This window comes from Homo sapiens, chromosome 2 (genome assembly GCF_000001405.40).
Source record: "Homo sapiens chromosome 2, GRCh38.p14 Primary Assembly".
NCBI classification, from domain to species: domain Eukaryota; kingdom Metazoa; phylum Chordata; class Mammalia; order Primates; family Hominidae; genus Homo; species Homo sapiens.
In genome coordinates, this window is record NC_000002.12 from 212,424,254 (window position 1) to 212,448,387 (window position 24,134).

Sequence of the window (24,134 nt, forward strand, 5' to 3'; positions counted from 1 at the left end):
TCATTAAATAAATATGTACTGAATGCCTACCTACTCTGTGTCTGGTACTGTGTCTGGACCTTACAATGGTAGGACTTTCCCTGCCACTAGGGAGCCTACAGAATGAGTGAAATTCTGTGCCATTCCTGTTGACTCCCCTTCAAGCTATTCCCCATGCACATATATCCACATATATCCAAAAGAAACAGGTAAAGTCCATCTATGCACATAAAAGCCCACTTATTTTTTCTCCCAATTATAAGAGAACAACTTTTCAAGGCTATATAAAAAAGAGAGCCTTGCTATTTTCTAACACGTATTTTTACAGACAAGTAGTACATAGTATATATACTAAAACTTTGCTAAACAAATCAAGTTGATGTCTTACTGGAGCAATGAATTGACCTCTAATAACAGCTATAGCTCACCTATAGTAATCAGATAAAACTAGATTACCCTGGATTAACAAATTTTTTTTTGTTTTCTTTTTTTGTTTGTTTGTTTGTTTTTGGTGTAGAAGGGGAATGTTGTGAAAGAGAACAGTTGGAAAACCCAAAAATATACAAATCCACAAATACTTAGTTTATGTCTATAAACAAAGAAAAAGCCTTTTACTTATCTTCAGAAATGAAAGTATAAGCACAAAGACAATTGATCAAATTATTAATTGTGGTCTTCTACTGGAGACTATGACCCATGTCATTTTAGTTATACATAAAGAAAAATAATGGTGTAGGTGATACCTAATGTTATCCATGTATCCGTGAAGAAAAAGTACTGCACAGAAATATGAACACAACTAATCAGATTTATCTTTTATATATGACATTTTATAGATGCTAGCAGATTTTTCTAAGCTTTCTTAAAACTGTCATTATAAAATATTTGTAATACTAAAGTCAAGAATTTAATTTAGTATCATGGATCTAATTCATTAACTCTTTTGAAGTAAAAGTAAATCAAATTTTAATAAACTTTAGTCTGACAATATTTGCTCACATTAAAAAAATTATTTAGAACTTTAACATGTGTGATATATAATAAATAACAGATATATATTTTACATATAATATATAATATATATGTGTTGGATAAATATATAAGGATACATATATATGAACATATATGTATATGTATACATATATATGAACATATATGTATATGTATACATATATATGTATATACACACATATGTATCCTTATATATTTATACAATAATCAGTATATTATTACAAAGTAATTGTATATTTCTCCAAAAATAAGGAGGCAGTGGTTATTTAAAACAATAATATCAAAAAGTCTCCTCAAAATAAAACACATCCATATTTTAACATAATTGCAATTTGGTCATATTGGTTATAGTATAAACATAATATTGATTTAGAAGGACACATTTTTCAGATCTTAGGAAAATTACAGGTAACAAATTCATCATTCCTCCATCTCCCTCTTCCCTTCTTGGTTACACTGTATGTATCTTTATCACTTCACTATTTATAAAGTGATCTATCAATGAACAACATCTTTTAAATCACTGTCCTTGCTTCATTCTTTTTCCTAACATTTTCTTGCTAGTTGGTATCCATCATTCTTACCCACATTTGGGGAGATAGAAAAGTTTTTGTATTCCTCATTTTGTTGTACCTATCCACCTAATGCCTTAAAAATCAAATTATTAACATGCAGGATAAGTCACCTAATCATGAGAATTAGCAGCTTTTTGGTTTAATTATAATCATAAACTTTTCTTCTGAATCAATGTTCACGTATTCAATCATTTATCTTCAGAAATGTCTTCTTATATCAAAAATTCAAATCTGAGACTTTATCTCCTTTCACATTTTACAATGTCTGAACTTCTTTATAATCTATTTTAGACTCTAACAACTTTGTAAATATATTACTTGTCATTGTTCTCTACTTTTAAGTTTGAATGTGATATCACTCTTTATAGAAGGCTCCAAGCAAATCTGAGAATAAGTTTTGAATTGATTTAGTTACTTTTTACGTGCATTTATTTCCAAATGCACACTAAAATATTAGGTTGGTGCAAAAGTAATTACAGTTTTTGCCATTAAAAGTAATGATAAAAACTGCAATTATGTTCGCACCAACCTAATAGTTATTAGAAAGATGGTGGTTATACAAATTAGATCTCTTTCGTCACACATTTTCTTCTAAATGTATATTTTCAAGTGTCTTAGTAATTTCTTGCAGCTGAAATAGAGAAGCTGATATTTTTATTAAATAGTTTTCAGAAAACCTCAATCTCTTTATCTCTACCACTGCTCTTTGGCTTTCTCTAAACATACACCTGTATGCACCATAAATATATTTATTGTGAATATGAAAGTTCCTCAAGGTTCCTGCGTGTTTATATCTAACATCACTGATCTATAAGGCATATATTAAACTTTAGTGCTTCTTTAGTAATAATGATGCGCTTGTACCACCACCTATCCACACTCTCACACAATCACCCCTTTTGAAGTAAAGCCTATATTTTAAAAATAACCATTACAGATTGTGAGTGCAGTCTAGGATCACATAGCAGAACTAAAAGCTAACTGGCCCACCCACAAAGTAAATGTGAGACAGAGGGCTCGGGGTAGCCATACTCTAGCCAAGTAGTACTGACAGATACCAATAGATATAATCAAATGTTACACATTTGTGTTTGCAAACGGGATAAATATTTTCCTGACCAATCTATACTTTTGATGATTCAAGCTACAGGATAAGTTTTAAAAATGTCTTTTGCACTTATCTACATTACTTAATAGTATCTTCTTGTCATAGACAACTGTTTTACACCATTTTAGTAGGAAATCAATTTGTCATTCAATTCCATTTTCTAATGCAGTAGTCCAACCCAACCCAGAATGCATTATTGATATGGAAATGAGTGTAATTAGCAGCGTAAATGATCTGTTATTTATGATACAAGTCAGAGCAGTAAATCACCATTGGCTCACTATCATTACTATGCAAATAGAAGAAAGCAGTTAATGGTCCATGTGTTTAAAACAGGCCACTTGCTTGCTCATTTGCAAATGAAAGGCAAGGGTGAGAGTTTAAGGTAGAGATGACAGTTTATCATATTGTCAGTCCTGGTACTTGGACTTAAGAAAACCAAGACACACCAATCATTATGCTAGTTTTAAACGTTATCCCCTTTCTCTACTGTATATTCTGCCTCGAACCTATTCTTACAGCACCTTCAAACTTATTTTGGGTTCCCTGTGATTTGCACATTGGAAGTGGAAATAATTGTGAGAGTGCTTGTAAGTGTTTCGCACTGTATGAGATAGTTTTTATGCCATATGGGAAAAACACAATAAAAATTCACTATTATGAAATAAAATAGCATCACTGGTCATATAATTCACTTCCTTTTCCTACAAATAAATTTTATTTTCTTGTAAGGAGAGAAACTAGCAATAATTTGAGTAGTTAGAGAATAAAGGAAATATTTGTGAGCCTTACTGGAATTTATTCAGTATACCTGAAAGAAATTGGTCTGCCTGTCCTGGTTGCTCTCTTTTCGTTTAATATTCCAGGGAATGTGAGAGCTTGTGGGGAAACGTGAGTGCATTAGCAGCAGGCCAATGCTTGCTTAGTGAAATGGGAACAAAGGCAAGACACATGAAAAGCTAGAGGAAGAAGAGGGATTGAGGGCAAATGCAAATTCTGCAAGCTTCACTTGCATAGATCTGATCATTTTTTAAAGTATTTGACAGACTTTCAGAAATACAGAACTGAGAAAGAATAATAATGTCTTTATATTGAAGGTGTACATAGTAGAAAGGATCTCAATCTCACATAAATTATCTCCATTTTGCAAATATATAAATAAAACTGACAAATCACTTATGAAACCTTATTTTGGTTTGTTGTTATTTTTATTAAGCTATGGATTCAAGAATGACATACAAATTGGGCATGAATTTTATATACAGGAAATGATAATAATATTTAAACAGTAGAAAATACTTTTTCTTATACCAACATTTTTTCTTAAATTATATGTACAGAGTGGTTGGAACAATGCTTTAATTCATCTTTCTTATCAGCTTATGTTTTGTAAATATTATGTTTTTCTTTAATTCCAAGGAAATAGCTAGGCCATTATATTTCCTTGCCTCATTGGTTTTTCCAGAGATAATCTTCCTTCTTGGCTTTTGTTTTTGAAACCTAAACCAGGAAGAAAGATTATATGAGGAATCTGAAAAAGTCAAATTCATAGAACCAAAGGGTGAAATGATAGTTGTCCAGGACTGGAGAGGAGAAAATGGGAAATGGCTAATCAATGAGCATGAAGTTTCAGTAAAGAAAAATTAATAAGAAAGTCTACAGATCTGGTGCAAAACATTGTACCTATAGCTAATAATACCACATTGTATACTAAAAATGTAAGAAAATAGATTTCATGTTGTGTTCTTATCACAATAAAATAAAATTTAAATAAATAAAGTAAAATAAAACCTTAAGTCCAGTGAGAAGTTTAAGCTAGAGGAAAGGTAGATGGTTTTGGGTTGAGCCCATGCATTTGTTATCAAGAAGAGAAGAGACAAGTGCATACTCACTAAGTCTGGGAAAGGAAGGGACATCTGTAGGCATAACAGATAGAGGGATACAAGTGCACTCCCAGGCAGCACTCAGGAAATGAACTGACTTCAGGGGAGGGGTTATGTGGAACCCCAGTGTATCAGTCAGATTCCCAGCAACTACTTTATGAGACATTCAAATTAGGATAATTTAAAGAATGTTAATATAAAAGTTATTAATTTTAAGAGTTTGAGCAATGTAAAGGAATTACTAGGGACAGTGCAGGAATGAGAGCAGTTTATTTGAGCTGGCATTAGCCCCAGGCCCAGCAAGACTAAAGCAGGGAAGAGAGAGATTATAGAACAAAGAGAAACTTACAAATGCAGCTTCCTTCAGAGCAGCAATGACCTTCCCTTGAAAGACACAGATTAAGAAGATCTCACAGAGAGGGAACCAGGAGAACAAATACTTAGTTTCACTGTCCTTTCTCTCTCTCTGATTCCCTGCTGGGGCTTTCCAAATGGGTCATTGGACAATCCTAAACAAAACCCAGAAAGCACAGGAGTCTACTGATAATCATCCACACAGGCCAGCTTCCAACAATCAGAACACAAAGCCAGGATTTCTGAGGACACAGTGGAGCTTTCTGTCTTCAACGGATTATACAAGTGTGGATAGCTGAGTATATCAAAGGAGGAGGCTGTCATAAACCAAAAACTAAGAATCCCCCTCTAAAATTTCATATGACAGTTACCAAAATTTACTACATTTACTAAGTTCTTATGCCCACGGATTATGCTAAGCACTTTATATAAATTTTCTTCTCCCTTACAGTATTTTCAGGTAGGTCCTATTATTATTCTTTTTTGACAAAATAAGAAACTGAGGCACAGAGAGGTAATTATCTTCCTAAATAACACATGATGAACACATGATGAAACCATGGCAGTTAGATTCAAACCTGTCTAGGTCTGACCCCAGAGCCTGTTCACCTAATGACCTCATATAATGCTTCCCTATATTTGACATAAATATGCTGATAAGATTCCCAACTGTGGAAAGTAATTAAAATAAAATGCGAAAATACTTAAAACTATTCATAATTTGAATTAATAGGTTCTTTTAATTAATATCTGTTATAGTTTGCCTTCTACACTGAAACATTAAGTTGGAAGAGAGGCAGAAGTAATGGGATTCATACATATGCAGAATTGCACCATTACTTTAAAATGAAATGAAGATGAGAGAACCACTTAGACATTATAGTTGTTGGACAGATTAAATAATCCACTTTCCTAAAATGCAACTGGTAAAGAAAATAAATAATGCTTATGAAAGGAACTAGATTCAGGTCTATTATTTAGCTTGGCTTTGAATATTAATTGTTTTTCCTCTTATACTTGTGTTTTATATACATACATACGATGTGCTTTATTTAAGTAGAAACCACGTGTTAAAAATGTGTAAGTAAAATATAACTAGCAGTCATATTATTAAAATCTACACCATGTCTATATCAAACATCTTATTTAAGCCAGAAGAACATTTTTAAAACATAAAACCTGTTAATAAAGAGAAATTCCATAAAATGAAAAATTGCTTTCTATCTACAGTCAGTTATGTCTCTTTGCAGGTTGCAATTACTTCGCATGTTGGTTTTTTTTTTTTTCTTTTCTTTTAAATGAAGTCTCGCTTTGTTGCCCAGGCTGGAGTGCAGTGGCGCGATCTTGGCTCACTGCAGCCTCCACCTCCTGGGTTGAAGCGATTCTCCTGCCTCAGCCTCCCAAGTAGCTGGGATTACAGGTGCCTACCACCACACCTAGCTAATTTTTTGTATTTTTAGTAGAGATGGGGTTTCACCATGTTGGCCAGGCTGGTCTCAAACTGCATGCTGTTTTTATATTCGAAGAATATTATGTTGTATACATATTGAGATCCCATTACCAATCTTGTTTAGCATGAGACAGCTAAGTCATTGAGTACAGAGTTATTTTCCAAAAGTATTCAATCTCATGTTGAGAAAGCAAGAGGAAAGATGAGGTGGGAGATGGGGGATGGGGGAAGCAAGAGAGAGTGAGAGGGAGAGACAGAGACAGTGACACAAAGACAAGGAGAGACAGAGACAAAGATTGAGATTGTGGTGCTGAGTTTTAATGACCTTCTGACCCCAAACCTGGTCACATTGATGTAAATAATAAATACGCGGTTGCACTGCTTTTCCTTAGAAGGAAACATAGACTTACTCCTGTATCTCTTCTCATATCCTTGATGTTTTCTGAATTTTTTATTCAGACTGATTGACACTGATTCCCTCTTTGACAGACCTCTCTCCAGAACCTCACGCTCCTATATCCAGGAGGACGAATGCTACTCAGCCTCTCTGTTTGGATGGCAGGTGGCATAATAAGCATATGTCACATGAACTCCTGATCTCTTGGTCTATATTCTCATCTAAACAGCTCCTTTCATGGTCTTCTTCATCTCATCTCAGTTGATGGCAACTCCATCCTTCCAACTGCTCATATTAAAAAAAAAAAAAAAAAAAAAAAACCTTCGTAACTATTTTTATTCTTGTTTTCTTTGAAATTTCATATCATATCTCTCAGTAATTCCTGCAGGCTCCCTCTCCCTTTAAAACGTATACAGAATCTCATTGCTTCTCACCACCCCCACTGCTTCTACTCTGGATAAAGTCAACACAATCTCTTACTTGGAATATTGCATTTGCCTTTGACTCTGTTCAGAGTATTCTTAACCAAAGAGCAAGAGTAATCCTCATTGAATGTATATCAGATCAGGCCACTCCACTTCTTAGCATTCCTCAATGGCTTCTCCTATGTCTGAGAATAAAAGCCAAAGTCTACTACATACCTTTCCTTCCCCTATTATTCTATGATGACATCTCTCATGACCCTTGCATTTTCTTATCCCATCAACATATAGTGTTAACTGTTTCCTTGAACTGTCATCACAGGGCCTTCATACTTGCTGTTTGATTAGTCTGCACCATGCTTTCACCAGCATCTTCACTTCCCTCAGATCTTTACTCAAATGCCACTTCTTCAGTAAATCTCTCCATGGGGCACCCTACGTGAAACTATAATCTCCCAACATTCATTGTCCTCTTTCCTAATTTATTATTCTCCATAATACTTATAGTCTAGGCTTCCATATGTTTTACTTATTTTGTCAACTTTTAAGAAAATATAATCTCTACCAAATCAAGGATTTTTCACTACTTTGTCCATGATTGTTTTCCAATGATTAGAGCATGTATTGAAATCAATTAAAAGGCAAATGAAAAACAGGACCTCACTGTCATTTTGTAACCCAGGTTGTCTGTTCTTTGGTCTATCTCTGTTGCTATCACCTTGAGGGATGGCCTTTCCTGAAAGGAGGTGGAATCAAAATTTCAATGGTCATAATAAAATACTAATTTTTTTAGGCTTGTTAATAAAGATAAACAGAATTTTATAATTTACAAATGCCATTTTAGACAATAATTGTAAATGCCTTTTCTTCCAGAGTGTAATATTAAAAAACAGTCAGCAATTTTATGTTTCTGTGAAATATATTACTGGTTGCAATTTGCTTTTAAGTTACTTGTAATATGATTAAATAGTAAATAGTTAGGATCATGGTGTTATACAACTTTTCCAGCCAACTGTGAATCAGTTTATGTCTAAAACTTTAATGGGTGCTCTCTCTATATATAATGTGATCAGAGGTGCATTCTGCTAAGTGTTAAGTAACTTGACTTCTGTAAATATAGCCTTAAATTTTCTAATTTTAAGGCAAAATTAGATTTCAATATGTCTAAATATCACCAACAGCAGGAATTAGCAGTTATATTAGCTCACTGCAAATTAGTTGATAAGGATCAAATTAGATTTTTAAATCATCATTGCAAATTATGAAGCTCTATTTTCAAGAAACACATTTAACATCATTAATAACCCACAGAAGTTGTGAAAGGTGAAAACTCTTTTAAAGAACGACTTCTGAGAGACAATCCTTTAGTTTGCCCATTCACTGAAGAATCACTCATGTAATTAACTTGCCTCATCTCTTCCCTGAGTTATTCAGATGGTCGGTGAGGATAGTAATGGCAGCCACAAACTCTGGAATCATCTCGAAGTCTGATGATACAGTGTTACATGGTATTTTCTACCACATAACCAAAGCTCTGGAATATATGAAGGGGTATCTAGTGCTTACATTTGTAACATCGAAGGGTTATATGTACCCCTTCATATGTCCCAGAGCTTTGGTGTGGTAGAAAAGTTATTTATAACATACAAATCCGATACTACAGTATAGAGAGTTACATATTATGCATTCTTAAAGCACAATATTTTAGAAATTTTATACTGCATTTAGCTAAATACTTCATTTGTAGATAGAGTAGCCTTCATAGGATAATTAATATTTTCTAAAAACTTCCACTAACTGACATTTTTACAATGGATTTTGTTATTTAAGTTTCAGTTTACATCAATTATAAGTGTGAGAATTCACATGGAATCTGTATAAAAGAAGAGAAAATTTTCTTTTTACCTTCCTATTACATGTAGAACTTTTTCTTCTACTGAGACTAAAATATTCCTTTAATAAATTCAGAAATCATTGGTTAATTTCAAATTTCTCACCCCTGCAAAAATTATATATGATTTTGAAAAGGCCAACATATTCAATCACCTGTATTTTTATAGATCGAAAAATATTCACATTTAAAAATTGCCAAATTACAAAAAGTTGCAAATGGTGTTCCTTTAATACAACTTTCAGGCCTCATTTATTCCTTACTTGCATACCAGGTTCTCAACAAGAACAGCTGATCCAAGAAAAAAATAGGTCCTTCGCAAAAGTTCTTTCTTAGAAGAGCTATGACTATATACACATCGTTGGTAGTAAAATATATATATTAATATCTTGAAACATTAGAAAATATCATCTATCTTAATTCTATAGTAAATCAACAGAAAGACACAATAATCTTCAACATAACAAATCAAACACATTGAACTCTCTGTATGTTGAGGTGATGAATATATTCTACGCATGGCAGTGTGCATTCAAATTCAAAGCCTTGTTTACCAGTGATTTTTGTCATGCACTCTAATAGTGTCATTACATGGAAGAGGGATGCTCAAGGAGATACTTTAAGTTTGAGAATTATTTTCCTCTGTTCAGCTGTTAAACTACCTCTCAGGAAACCAATAATTCACAAAGGGAAATTAAGCAAGGTGACTCAATTATGTGACTTTATGTTCCAGTTCCTGTACATGCTTTTAAAAAGCATGTTTCAGATCATTTTACCCCTTAGGGGTCAGCAAGAGAATAACCAATCTAAAATAGAATTTAATAGTGCAAATTCACATCCATGTAATCTAAATTGTGTCCTCTGGAGTTTTAGAGACCACTAACAGTTAAAGCATAGTGGATATAGTAAATTCTGAAATCCCAAGAATGAATGAATACAAATATGATTTCATATGACTGGACACTGTTTGAATTACAGAGCTGCTAGAAAGCCAGAGATACAGTCAAGTGAAAATATTTTTCCCTAAAGTATCTAGATGGTGCTTATGGATACTACAAGTCTTCTACACCTTAAAACATTATGTAAAATTGCTAGAATTCCTATTTTCCCTATATAATTTGGAATATCGAAGAACTAAGTAACACATATTTTTCTCACATAGACTCTCAGGTGGTCTTTGGGGTAAGAGTAGGGGGAGTGTGGGGGGAAAAATAACTACACTGCTTTTTACCACGACTTGGAATCCACAGAGTCAAGAGATACCACCCATTTATATACACACAGAGAGACACGTTCATCTTAGTAAACTTCAAATTCTCAAAGGGAATCCTCTCTTGTGGCAGGCCTAGTTTTAAGAATCAGAACATGTTCCATTCTCCTTCAATGTTCCAGCAGACACTTCTTTTGTAATCTTATAATATGGAATCAGAACAACAAGGTTTCACATTCTTCTATTACGTAGATCATTCTTATTACATACAACTGAGAAGAGCAATGTAAATGTGCAGCTATTCTAACCTGCCTATTGGATAAAAATGTAAAATATCAACAAGTTTACTGCTCAACATTTTCCATCTTTTATTCATTTGCAGAAGAAGAAAAGAAAATTTTCAAGAAACAAATGATTTAAAGTCCAGATTTCTTTGATCTGAAGCTGAACTCAAGCTTTTTTCTACTTACAAGCATATTTAACAAATAACTGAAATAATTTTTTAGGCATTCATTCATATTTCTTACAGGAAAGAAACAATTTCATTTCTAAGTCTCATAGGAAATTGTTTTTAAAGCTATGAGTTTAGAAGAGAAGATCTGAAATCAAGACATGACCAGAGGAAATTACAAAAAAAGATGACGTTGATATTCCTTCTGGTGCCCTCCTGTTTTCAGTGCCCATCTCCTACCATACTACCTAATCCCCAGGAGAAACCTTCTCCAGGCCTATTACCACACACCTTGATTTCCAAGTATTTCTTTTCTAGCTAAGGGAATATCAACGGAGTTGTTGTCACTCTCTGAGTAGCCTCCAAGACTTACAAACCATAGACTTGATGTTAAATTTTGGACACCATAAATAATTCTGGGCAACACTTGTAGAGAGAAGAAGAATTCTACACAATGTGAACACCTATTTATTTTTATCACATAATATTGCCTTTCTCTGGAATTCTAAATGGTGATATCAAAAGACTCCTGTTTATAAGAAACTAACATACATTCTTGTTAATTTTTCTATCAGAGGAACATGGAATAAATGGCATAATTAGAAGAAATCTATAGTGCAAGAATAAAAACATTAATAAAGCCAATGATAAAAGCTAAACTTTATCATGCACACACGAAATCCCAGGTTCTAGATGAAGTCTTTTCCATGTATTTCCTAATTTACTCATATTTGCCCCAAGATATATGTTAATATTATTTAGATAAGAAAACATAGTCTTAAAATTATACATGGCTCAAGCTCCAGACCTAGGATTTGATCCCAGGGTTCTCTGACCCCAAAGCTCCAGCTTTTAAAAATTATATTTTAATACTATGTAAATTGACTTAGCACTTATAAATTTATATTTAAATATTTTGGTGAAAGAAAAAAAATAAATAATAATCCTTTGGTGTGTCCCAGAAAATTCCCAGATATGCCAGGGGTTAAAAATGATTCTCTATTCAGAATCACCCTCAATGAATAGAAAATTCAGTACATGGCCCAAGACAACAGAGTAATTATAACCATAAAAGCAGGAAAATGTGCCATCAAAATTTGTCAATCATTGTATATAACATAGAGAAAACGAGAAATTGATGAATAAATGAGTACATGTAATCTCTAGAATAAGTTTCTAGTCAACACTGTCAGCCATATAAACAGGACATGGTAAATAAAAAACCTCAGAAAAAGCAATCGGTAAGATCTTAAAACTGAACTGAATCAATTCATTTAGAAACCAAAAAGTTTATATCCGCTATAGATCACATATTAAAAGAAATAAATATGACATCATTCTACAAATGAAAAACAAAAAATTTAGAAAGGCACATTATCTCCAAGTAGGCATGACTGACATCCACCAAATATGATAAGAAAATATCTACAATAATTAAAAGACTTAGCCAGCTTACACTGGTAGGTGATTCAATTTCCAGGAGAAATGCACTGATATTTCCTCAAGAGGAAAAAGAATAAGATAAATATTTACTAAGTAGCTATGTGATCTTGTGTCAATCTCTCAGAGATTTCATTTCTCCTTTCTAAGTCTCAGCTTCTCTACATTCAAGTTTTAAATACAACAGTTTTATAGAATATTATTTGCCATTTTTGACACATGGGAAGAAAATATATAAATGAATTCTATATTTATTCAGCTCAAGTAACAAAAGTTAAGGTTGACAAAATAAAACTCAAACTATATTTGCCAGTAAACCTTCAAACAGTAATCCCATGAACATAACTAGAATGGCCGAACCTTTCTCAAACCAAAGAGACTTTTGCAGGTTAGACTTAAGTTAAATGCTTCATCATTAATTCCAGCAGGCAAAGAATGGAAGTGGGTAGAGCACACCAGAGACAAGAATAGGTTGGAGGCCAGGCAAACTAGAGGTTATAAATGGAAGCACTAGAGGCTAGAAAAGAGTGGGTTGGAGACTAGGTAAACCAGAGGATTTTAGTACAAGCAAGAGAGTAAGGCTAGAGATCCCAGGGCCATGTAAACGCCAAAGACTGGTTGTAAAGCAAACCGTATAATCTCAGGGCAAGGTAAATTATCTACAATAAGGACATTCACAAAACCTAGCAAAGACCAAATGTAAGGTAAAAGAACACTTGCATTGTGCCCATCCTTGGTGGTCTTTTTTCTGCATTCCCCCCATTAAGTACTGCTCCTAAATAAGTTTGGCTTAGAAAATACAGAGAGATTACTAAACAAAGCAGTCTGCTAGAACTTATTCCAGCTCTCTGGGATACAAGGATTTCCCTTACTCCTACCTGCTCTCAAACTAAAGGATTTCACATTAATGGTAAAGTTCTCAGCTGGAGAATGAACTTGGCAGTAAAATCAGATGGCTTATGTAGCAATTTTTGAGTTCTAAAGAGCTGTAATAACTAGAATTCTCCTTTCCTGTACAGGAAGTGATAAGCCTTTTAACCTATGCTACTTATATTCATGTTCTGATACAAAAAAAAAAAAAAAGGAAGATTGGTCAAAAGTAAATTTTTAGGATAAACTCATTTATCTGGCCCTGTCTGCCTAATTATGCCTCCCCTTCCCACTAAAAGCTCTTAAGTATTCTCTATTGTACATGCTACAGAATAATGTTCAAATGCCTTTGTAGGTCACAAAAGGAACTCCATAATTGGGTTAACATCTACCACCTAGGCCTGATTCTGTAGTGACTTTCTGCCTTGCTCTTTATGCCTTAGAAACACTGTACTGTCTATAGGGTAGTTTTTGTCCACACCATTCTGTTTCTTTCCTCCATGACTTTTATTCTATGACTTCCTCTAATTAGAATACCTCATCTTCCTTTTCATCTATCTTATTTATTCTTTATGACTTACCTTAAAAAAATCAACTCCTTAAGAAAGCCACCCTGATATTTCATCACAATCACTCTCTGGTTCCTCACAGTACCTACTCATTCTCTAGTTCTGCTTACATAGTATCCTGGGCATAAATTTAGCCCTATGTACCATGTTATCTCATGTGTATCTGTTCGCACATGTTTAGAGTGAGTTGTACATTTATGAGGCTAGCCCTATGGTGGCTGCTTTGTTTGTTTGTTTGTTTCTAGACTAGTGCTCATAATTCAGATAACATCTACCAGGTAAATTTAATACATTTTTATAACTGTGAGGACAGATGTGATATAACATTCTATAATGGAAAGAAAAAAAAAATGTGTTTTGGAGCCAGACTTAGATAGTACTCCTAGCTTTAATTATTGCTTACTATATAAATTCTAGTAAGTTATTATCCACTTTCAGTTGTCTTCACGTTTATAAATACCAGGAGAAAAATACCATTAAATGTTGGTTCTTATAAGATGTCTTATGAAAAGCTACTGGCAAAATTCCTGGTGAACAAATATCGATCATTTCCTTTAAACTATAAGCTCCTTGACGGTAAAGCATAATGCTGTGTGTGTTGTGTATGAATTTTAATATCTACAACAATTAGTAAGCACACAGTATGTGATATAATATGGGTACCCTATAAGTGTTTGTGAATGAGTAAATAATTATGAATAAACACATACATAAAACAATTACAAGTTAAATTCCTAATAATCCTAACTTTGGAAAATATAAATTGTATTGAATGAATGGAAGAACTGAGTAAATGCATATCAAACTGTTAATGATAATATAAACACTTTCCTTAGCTTCCCGTTAATCTGTATATTTAATATAATTTCAATCAAAATTACAATTTGGTAAGATGGTGGTTTTGGAGAAGGGATGAAATTTGAGGGATATTGTCATTAAACCAGAAGAATGAATGTATAGCAAGAGCCATTACATCTTTTAAAAGTTAAACATTATGATACTGGCTCAAAGACAGACAAATAGAATAAAGAAGCAAAACAGGGAATCCAGAAACAGATTTATGTATTTATGTGAATTAAACATGATAAAAGTAGCATACCAAACCAGTGAGACATGGTGCGTTTTACAATAAATTGTGTTAGAAAAACTGGATGCCCTTTCAATATTCAGACAGACCAAGTAACTCTCCAATAATCACACTGTTAGAAAGTAAGTAAGCACTAGCTTTGAAAGGAACACACTTTCAACAGTGTTTCACTACTTCTCAAGATTTGCCTTAGATAGTGTGTACAAGTCCTTGCTGAGATAGGCTCAAATTTACAGATGAGTAAAATGAGGCCAGAACACGTAAAAGACTGCTTCGAGATTATTCTGCTAGTGGTTATGTTGCAAGAAATACAGCTGGAATACCTAGCTCATCAGCATACAAAATTAAATATTCTGCCTCACTTCTACGTTTGCAATAAAATGTATCTCTAACTTTATCAGGTTTTCCATTAACTCAACCAAATTATGAAGACTTGATCTTTAATACACAAATTCAGCTATGACAAATGTACCGTCTCCAAACTTACTATCTAGAAGACATCCATTGGTTATGAATTAATGGATTCTAGGATATACCTTTCTCCCCATGAAAAAAAAATCTACACATTCAGGTTACTAAGGTATGAAATTCTGCTGCTATAGCTTTGGTATTTTAATTTAACACTGTTCTCTATTGTTGAAATGCATTATTTCTGTAGGTATGAAACTTACAAAATATTAGTCATGTATTATTATGAAGAAAACAATAATGCGATACAAAGTTTCTGGTGGGGTTAGGATAAGAAAGTTTTTGGTTTAATAAAAATAACCAGAAACAGCCTTCTGGAGGAGGTAACATTAGAATTTATTCTAAGAAGATGCAGGTTGTCATTCCAACACCTGAGGAAAGTATTTACGAATAAAAAAATATAAGAAGCCCTGTATAAATGGCCCTGAAATTTATTAAAAATGAGCTTATTTTACATTTGAAGGACAAAAACAAGGCTAGTATAGTAGCATGGTAAATCAGGGGTGGGGAGATGTACTTGAGTATACTACTACAGAGATATTCAACTATCGGAATTTGGTGCCCTATAGGATATAATAATGAGTTTGCAACTCAAAATCTGAAAGTTCAAAGGAGGATTTGTGTGCAACACATTTAGTAGAAAGATAGTAACAATACCATCACTAACTTATCCAAAGAAAAGTAGATGTCCTTAATTAGCCAGGTGTGATACTTAATACTGAGTGTCAACTTGATTGGATTGAAGGATATAAAGTATTGATCCTGGGTGTGTCTGTGAGGGTGTTGCCAAAAGAGGTTAACATTTGATTCAGTGGCCTGGGGAAGGCAGATCCACTCTTAATCTGGTGGGAACAATCTAATCAGCTGCCAGCAAATACAAAGCAGGCAGAAAAATGTGAAAAGGAGAGACTGGCCTAGCATCCCAGGCTACAACTTTCTCCCATGCTGGATGCTTCCTGCCCTCAAACATTGGACTCCAAGTTCTTCAATTTTGGTACTCGGACTGGCTGTCCTTGCTCCTCATCTTGCAGGCAGCCTGTTGTGGGACCTTGTGATTGTGTAAGTTAATACTTAATACATTCATATATATCCTATTAGTTCTATCCCTCTAGAGAACCCTGACTAATACAGATTTTGGTACCAGGAGTGGTTCTGGAGGAACAGAATATTAAGGATGGAGTTCTTTCATCAGTTTTGGGGTTTCTAGAGTTGGCTGCTTAATATGACTAGACCCCAAAATGCTATGGAATCTCCTTCTAATCATATGGAGAACACTGATAGTACTTGACATGAACTGTTTAGAGAGTTATGCAAAATAAATGCACTTAACACTCCTGATTCACCACTCGTGAGAGGCAAAGAGTTTAGTGACTCTATACATACATAACACCTTTGACCATATGTGGAGAACCAAGGAACGTAATGAAACTGGTTGCTTGCTCCTAAGTTTAGTGGACAAAGTGATGAAAGAAAATGATGAACTCAGGGATTCTGTCTCTGGGCTTTAGAAGCAGATACTGAGCCTCAGATCTCCTAAGATTGCCCTGAGGGAGAGTCTTATCTCCTCTAGAGAAAGAACTGAAATTGTGGAAAAATAGACATGCTATCATGTGAGTGGCTGATCTGCAACGAAAGATGCATGCACAGCCTCACCAAGTGTTTATTGTTAAAGTGAGGGCATTGATTGGAAAAGAATGAGACCCTGCATCTCGGAATGGGCACATGTGGGAGGATTCTGATGAAGCTGGGGATACTGAGTTTGTAAACTCTGATGAACCTTTTTTGTCAAAAGGAACAGCTTCCCCATCCCCAGTAGTGGCAACATCCCCTCCCAACCCATGCTGTCATCAGCTTTTCCATCTTTGTCTGAGGAGATAAACCCTGTGCTGCCTGAGGCAACAGTGATAGCCTTCCTGCTCTGCGGGAGGCAATGGTGATAGCCTCCCCTGAGGCAGTTGCCAGGCATGATAATGTTGATTCTCCTCAGGAGCCACCCCCATCACCTCTGTTTGCTTCTAGACCTATAACTAGACTAAGTTCTGGTAGGTCCCTAGAGTTTAGTTTGACAATGTGACTCATGAGGTGAGCTACACTCAAAAAGAACTGTTTGAGTTTTCTAATCTATATAAGTAGAAACCTGGAGAACAGGCATAGAAATGGATATTAAGGGAATGGGATAATGATGGAAGGAACATAGAGTTGGATCAGGCTGAATTTATTTATTTGAGCCCACTAAATAGGGGCTCTGCTTTTAATGTTGCAGCTTGGGGAGTTAAAAAAAAAAGGTTCTAATAGTTTATTTGCTTGGTTAGCTGAAATATGGATTAAAAGGTGGCCCACTGTGAGTGAGCTGGAAATGCCTGATCTCCCTTGGTTTAATGTAGAGAAAAGGATCCAAAGGCTTAGGGAGACTGGGATGGTGGCGTGGATTAATCACTTTAGACATACTCATCCCAGCTAGGAGGGTCCAGAAGATATATCCTTGACAAATGCCTTGTGAAACACATCGGTGAGGGCAGCACCTGCTCTTTGAAGAGCCTGTAATTGCTCTTCTCTGTATGTCAGATCTAAGAGTGGGAACCACAGTCACTCAACTACAAAATTTAAATGCATTAGAGATAATTGCACTCAACCATCAAAGGCAAGGTGGGCATGGCTACCATAATGGACAGCAGAGACAAAGCAGCAATAAGAATAGTCTGACTCGTGTAGAGCTCTGGCATTGGCTAATTAATCACCGTGTTCCTAGAAGTGAAATTGATAGGAAGCCTACTGCATTCCTACTTAATTTATATAAGGAGAAAACTTCTAGGTTGAATGAACAAAAGACTAATTTGAATTACAAAAAAAGGGAATCATGGCCCCTCAACAAATTTCCATACTTCAGTCACTTTACACTCCCAGAACCCCTTGAATGAAGGGGAGGCTGGGTCCCTTTGAGGAAGGACCCCACTACATTACTGACAATTTATGCAGTGCATCTTTCTCCCATCCTTCCCCAAGGAAACTTAAGGCCTTTTACCAGGGTAACTGTGCACAGGGGAAAGGGAAATGGTCAGATATTTTGGGGACTCCTGGGCACTGGCTCTGAACTGACGTTGATTCCAGGAGACCCAAAAGATCACTGTGGTCCTCCAGTTAAAGTAAGGTCTTATGGAGGTCAGGTAATTAATGGAATTTTAGCTTAGGTCCTACTTACAGTGGGTTCAGGGGGTCCCCAGACTCATCCTGCAGTCAATTTTCCCCAGTGCCAGAATGCATAATTGGCATAGACATACTTAGCAATTGGCAGAACCCCCACACTGACTCCCTGACTGGTAGGGTGAGGGCCATTATGGTGGGAAAGGCCAAATGGAACCCATTAGAGCTGCCTCTACCTAGAAAAATCATAAATCAAAGACAATATCACATCCCTGGAAGGACTGCAGAGATTAGCGCCACCATCAAGGACTTGAAGTTGCAGGGGTAGTGATTCCCACCACATCCATGTTCAGCTCTCCCATTTGACCAGTGCAGAAGACAGATGGATCTTGGAGAAGGACAATGGATTACTGTAAGCTTAACCAAATTGTGACTCCAATTGCAGCTCTTGTACCAGATGTGGTTTCATTGCTTGAGCAAATTAACACATCTCCTGGTACCTGGTATGCAGCCATTGACTTGGCAAATGCCTTTTTCTCCATTCCTGTCCGTAAGGCCCACCAGAAGCAATTTTCTTTCAGCTGGCAAGGCCAGCAATGTACCTTTACTGTCCTACCTCAGGGGTTTATCAATTCTCCCGCTTTGTGTCATAATCTTATTCTGACAGACCTTGATCACTTTTCATCTCCACAAGATATCATATTGGTCCATTACATTCATGACATTATGCTGATTAGATCCAGTGAGCAGAAAATAGCAAACACACTGAACTTATTGGTGAGATGTTTGCATACCAGAGGATGGGAAATAAATCCAACTAAAATTCAGGGACCTTCCAACTTCGTAAAATTTCCAGGAGCCCAGTAGTCTGGGAGTCCTGTTGAGACATTCCTACTAAGGTGAAGCATAAGTTGCTGCACTTGGCCCCTCCTACAACCCAGAAAGAGGCACAACACCTGGTAGGCCTATATGGATTTTGGAGGCAACACATTCCTCATTTGGGTGTGTTACTCCGGCCAATTTATTGAATGACCAAAAGGCTGCCAGTTTTGAGTGGGGTCCAGAACAGGAGAAGGCTCTGCAACAGGTCCAGGCTGCTGTGCAAACTGCTCTGCCACTTGGGCCCTGTGACCCAGCAGATCCAATGGTGCTTGAAGTATCAGTGGCAAATAGGGATGCTGTATGAAGCCTTTGGCAGGTCCCCATAGGTGAATCACAGCAGAGGCCTCTAGAATTTTGGAGCAAGGCCCTGCCATGTTCTGCAGATAAGTATTCTCCTTTTGAGAGACAGCTCTTGGACTATTACTGGGCTTTGGTGGAAACTGAACATTTGACCATAGGTCATCAAGTCACCATGTGACCTGAATTGCCTATCATGAACTGGGTGCTTTCTGACCCATCAAGCCATAAAGTGGGTCATAAAAATCAGCATTCCATCACCAAACGGAAGTGGTATATACGTGACTGGGCTCAAGCAGGTCCTGAAGGCACATGTAAGTTACATGAGGAAGTGGCTCAAATGCCCATGGTCTCCACTCCTGCTACCCTCCTCCTCTTCCCCAGCCTGCACCAATGGCTTCATGGTGAGTTCCCTATGATCAGTTGACAGAGGAAGAAAAGACTAGGGCTTGGTTCACAGATGGTTCTGCACAATATGCAAGCACTACCTGAAAGTGGACAGCTGTAGCACTACAGCTCCTTTCTAGGATAACCCTGAAGGACAGCAGTGAAGGAAAATTTTCCCAGTGGGCAGAACTTTGAGCAGTACACCTGGTTGTGCACCTTGCATGGGAGGAGAAATGGCCAGATGTGCGATTATATACTGTTCATGGGTCATAGCCAGTGGTTTGGCTGGATTGTCAGGGACTTAGACAAAGCATGATTAGAAAATTGGTGACAAAGAAATCTGGGGAAGAGGTATGTGGGTGGACCTCACTGAGTGGTCAAAAACTGTGAAGATATTTGTTTCCCATGTGAGTGCTCACCAATGGGTGACCTCAGCAGAGGAGGATTTTAATAATCAAGTGGATATGATGATCCATTCTATGGATACTCCTCAGCCTCTTTCCCCAGCCACCTCCGTCATTGCCCAATAGGCCCAGGAACAAAGTGGCCACGGTGGCAGGGATGGAGGTTATGCATGGGCTCAACAACATGGATTTCCACTCACCAAGGCTGACCTGGCTACAGCCACTGCTGAATGCCCAATTTGGCAGCAGCAGAAACCAATGCTGAGCCCTCTGTAAGGCACCATTCCTCAGGGTGATCAGCCAGCTACCTGGTGGCAGGTTGATTATATTGGACCTCTTCCATCATGGAAAGGGCAGAGGTTTGTCCTCACTGGAATAGACACTTACTCCAAATATGGGTTTGCCTATCTTGCATGCCATTCTTCTGCCAAAACTAATATCTGTGGACTCGCAGAATGCCTTATCCACCATCATGGTATTCCACAAAGCATTGTCTCTGACCAAGGCACTCACTTTATAGCTAAAGAACTGTGGCAGTGGGCTCATGCTCATGGAATTCACTGGTCTTACCATGTTCCCCAGCATCCTGAGGTAGTTGGATTGATAGAACAGTGGAATGGCCTTTTGAAGTCACAATTACAATGCTAACTAGGTGACAATATTTTGCAGGGCTGGGGCAATGTTCTCCAGAACGCCGTGTATGATCTGAATCAGCATCCAATATATGGTACTGTTTCTCCCATAGCCAGGATTCACGGGTCCAGGAATCAAGGGGTAGAAGTAAAAGTGGCAACACTCACCATTAACCCCAGTGATCCACTAGCAAAATTTTTGCTTCCTGTTCCTGCGGCATTACATTCTGCTGGCCTAGAGGTCTTCGATCCAGAGGGAGGAATGCTGCCACCAGGAGACACAACAATGATTCAATTAAACTGGAAGTTAAGATTGCCACCTAGACACTTTAGGATCCTCCTACCTTTAAGTCAACAGGCTAAGGAGGGAGTTACAGTGTTGGCTGGGGTGACTGACCCGGACTATCAAGATGAAATCAGACTACTACTCCATAATGGAGGTAAGGAAGCATATGCATGGAATACAGGAGATCCATTAGGGCATAGCTTAGTATTACCATGCCCTATGATTGGGGTCAATGGGAAATTACAACAGCCCAATCCAGGCAGGACTACAAATGGTCCAGACCCCGCAGGAATGAAGGTTTGGGTCACTCCACCAGGGGAAAAAACCCACAACCTGCTGAGGTACTTGCTGAAGTCAAAGAGAATACAGAATGGATAGTAGAAGAAGGTAGTCATCAACACCACCTACAACCACATGACCAGCTGCAGAAACGAGGACTGTAATTGTCATGATTATTTCCTCTTTCTTTTGCTGAAAACATGTTTGTGTATGTATACACTTGTACTAAGAAAATATCTTCATTTTATTTCCTTTTCCTTTATCATGTGACATAAGATTTATTGACTTCGTATCAGCATTTAAGTATTGTTAACTTTATGTAATAGTATTTGAGTTGGGGATTGGTGCTTTTCCAGTTGTATGAAGGATAGTTGTATTATGTTAGGCATAATTATGACCTTATTGTCTTTACTTGGATATCATGTGTGATCTCAGCAGATCTGTATGGGTTCAAGTTGACAACGGTTGGACTTGTGATGGTTAATACTGAGTGTCAACTTGATTGGATTGAAGGATACAAAGTGTTGATCTAGGGTGTGTCTGTAAGGGTGTTGCCAGAAGAGATTAACATTTGAGTCACTGGGCTGGGGAAGGCAGATCTACCCTTAATCTGGTGGGCACAATCTCATCAGCTGCCAGCAAATATAAAGCAGGCAGAAAAACGTGAAAAGGAGAGACTGGCCTAGACTCTCAGCCTGCATCTTTCTCCTGAGTTGGATGCTTTCTGCCCTCAGACATCGAACTCCACGTTCTTCAGTTTTGGGACTCAGAATGGCTCTCCTTGCACCTCAGCTTGCAGACAGCCTATTGTAGGACCTTGTGATCATGTAAGTTAATACTTAATAAACTCCCATATATATATATGTATATATATATATATATATATATATATATATATATATATATATATATCCTATTAGTTCTGTCCCTCTAGAGAACCCTGACTAATACACCAGGGTATGTGAAAACTTAGCATAGCCTTTATTATAAAGAAAAAGTAAAATTCAGCATATTTAGGCTCCATGTGCTTCACTAGTTTTTCTAAAATCTGGTAATTTTACCAATGGATGAAATGTAATTTAATTAGGTAAAGCTGAAGTTCAAATATAGAGTGGAACTGATAAGTAATAAGCCTAACCCATATGATTGTATTCAATATATTTGAAAAGTGTCATTGGAAGTTAATAGGAGGAAATAATATGATCAATTATTTTGTAAGGAAAGGAAGTCAATGGAAAGAAAAAAATACTAATTAATACCAAATTTTTCTTTTTTTTTTTTTTTTATTTTGACGGAGTCTCGCTGTGTCACCTAGGCTAGAGTGCAGTGGCGCAATCTCAGCTCACTGCAAGCTCCGCCTCCTAGGTTCACGCCATTCTCCTGCCTCAGCCTCCCAAGTAGCTGGGACTACAGGCACCCGCCACCATGCCCGGCTAATTTTTTGTATTTTTTAGTAGAGACGGGGTTTCATTGTGTTAGCCAGGATGGTATCGATCTCCTGACCTTGTGATTCGTGCACCTCGGTCTCCCAAAGTGCTGGGATTACAGGTGTGAGCCACTGCACCCAGCCAATACCAAATTTTTCAAAAGGTGAAAAAATACATTCCACTTAACATTTCCAGTCAACTTCTCCACTTTGTCCTACAAAAAGCTATTTTTTCTATTTTAAAAAAATGTGACTTATTAAACTAATGAGAACTAATAATTACTTTTTCCCAGAAAACAAAGTCAAGATTTCCACCCTCTCTTTTATTATGAGCTAGTATTTGTAGCATGGAACATGTTTTTCATAAACATTCTTAGGTATCCTTAAAAGTTAATAGTTAGTGTCCATCCTGAACATTTTACCTTTCATCTGTATTCAATTAATCCAGTTTTCAAATAAGTAATCAACATAATAAGCACTATGATAGAGGTTTAAGAATTACAGAAATTTTAAGTAAGTGTATGGATATTCTAATACACATTCCAGTATGGGCCAATATAAGTATAAAGCTAATTCTCTGTCACTTACATAGTACACTAAAATATAACTCTTCATAAAAGATTGTGTGTGTGTGTGTGTGTGTGTGTGTGTGTGTATTCAACATGGGCAACTAACATTTCTTTCTTCAACATTGGTCTTCAAACTGCCAAAACTCTTATACTGTGTTCTAATTATTCTCATATGCTTAGCTGAGACCTTTCACAAAAAAAGCTCTTCAAAAATTGTCATTATATGGAATTGAATCAAATCACACTATTACTTGTCATGAAGTAGAATTCAGTATCACATAGAATGTCATGTTAACCTGTCCTGTTTCAGACTCAAATCCAGTGATTTCAGCGGTATTCACAACTGACTTTTTCAAAATATTCCATAATGAGAAGGTACTTAATATGGTTTCTTTAACTGTAATCTCTAAGATAATATTATCATGACATGTCAGGGTACAGGCACTCTTTTAAGGTATACTTGCACACAAACAAACAGTAATGATTTTAATGCATGTGTCAAATCTAAATCTTTGTCCCTACTGTTTTGTGTACCCAACAGAGGTGATTTCAAAGGAAGAAGACTGGAAGAGATACACACATGAATTGCGTACATCAGAATGAAATGTCTATATAATTTTGAAAATCAAACTGTTTATACACTGTTTGAAAGATTCATTTCGGCCT

General features: G+C 36.4%; 1 protein-coding gene, 1 long non-coding RNA gene and 1 other non-coding gene across 12 annotated transcripts in view, besides 1 other annotated feature; 1 reads left to right on the plus strand and 2 right to left on the minus strand.

The window, feature by feature from the left end:
- ERBB4 (erb-b2 receptor tyrosine kinase 4) overlaps nt 1-24,134 on the minus strand; it is a 1,163,086-nt gene that overhangs the window by 1,048,537 nt on the left and 90,415 nt on the right. The window lies entirely within an intron of this gene.
- LOC124906116 (uncharacterized) lies at nt 1,238-6,785 on the plus strand. The gene is made up of 2 exons (XR_007088065.1): nt 1,238-2,022; nt 2,109-6,785. It is a non-coding gene; the product is annotated as an uncharacterized LOC124906116 (long non-coding RNA).
- MIR548F2 (microRNA 548f-2) lies at nt 2,010-2,107 on the minus strand. Its single transcript, NR_031643.1, has one exon. It is a non-coding gene; the product is annotated as a microRNA 548f-2 (primary transcript).
- Nucleotides 2,739-3,272: an enhancer, noted in NCBI's record as "NANOG hESC enhancer chr2:213291716-213292249 (GRCh37/hg19 assembly coordinates)". NCBI's record gives its function as "activates a minimal SCP1, AML or CMV promoter by ChIP-STARR-seq in naive H9 embryonic stem cells {active_cell/tissue: H9 hESC(naive)}" and the evidence as "EXISTENCE:reporter gene assay evidence [ECO:0000049][PMID:30033119]".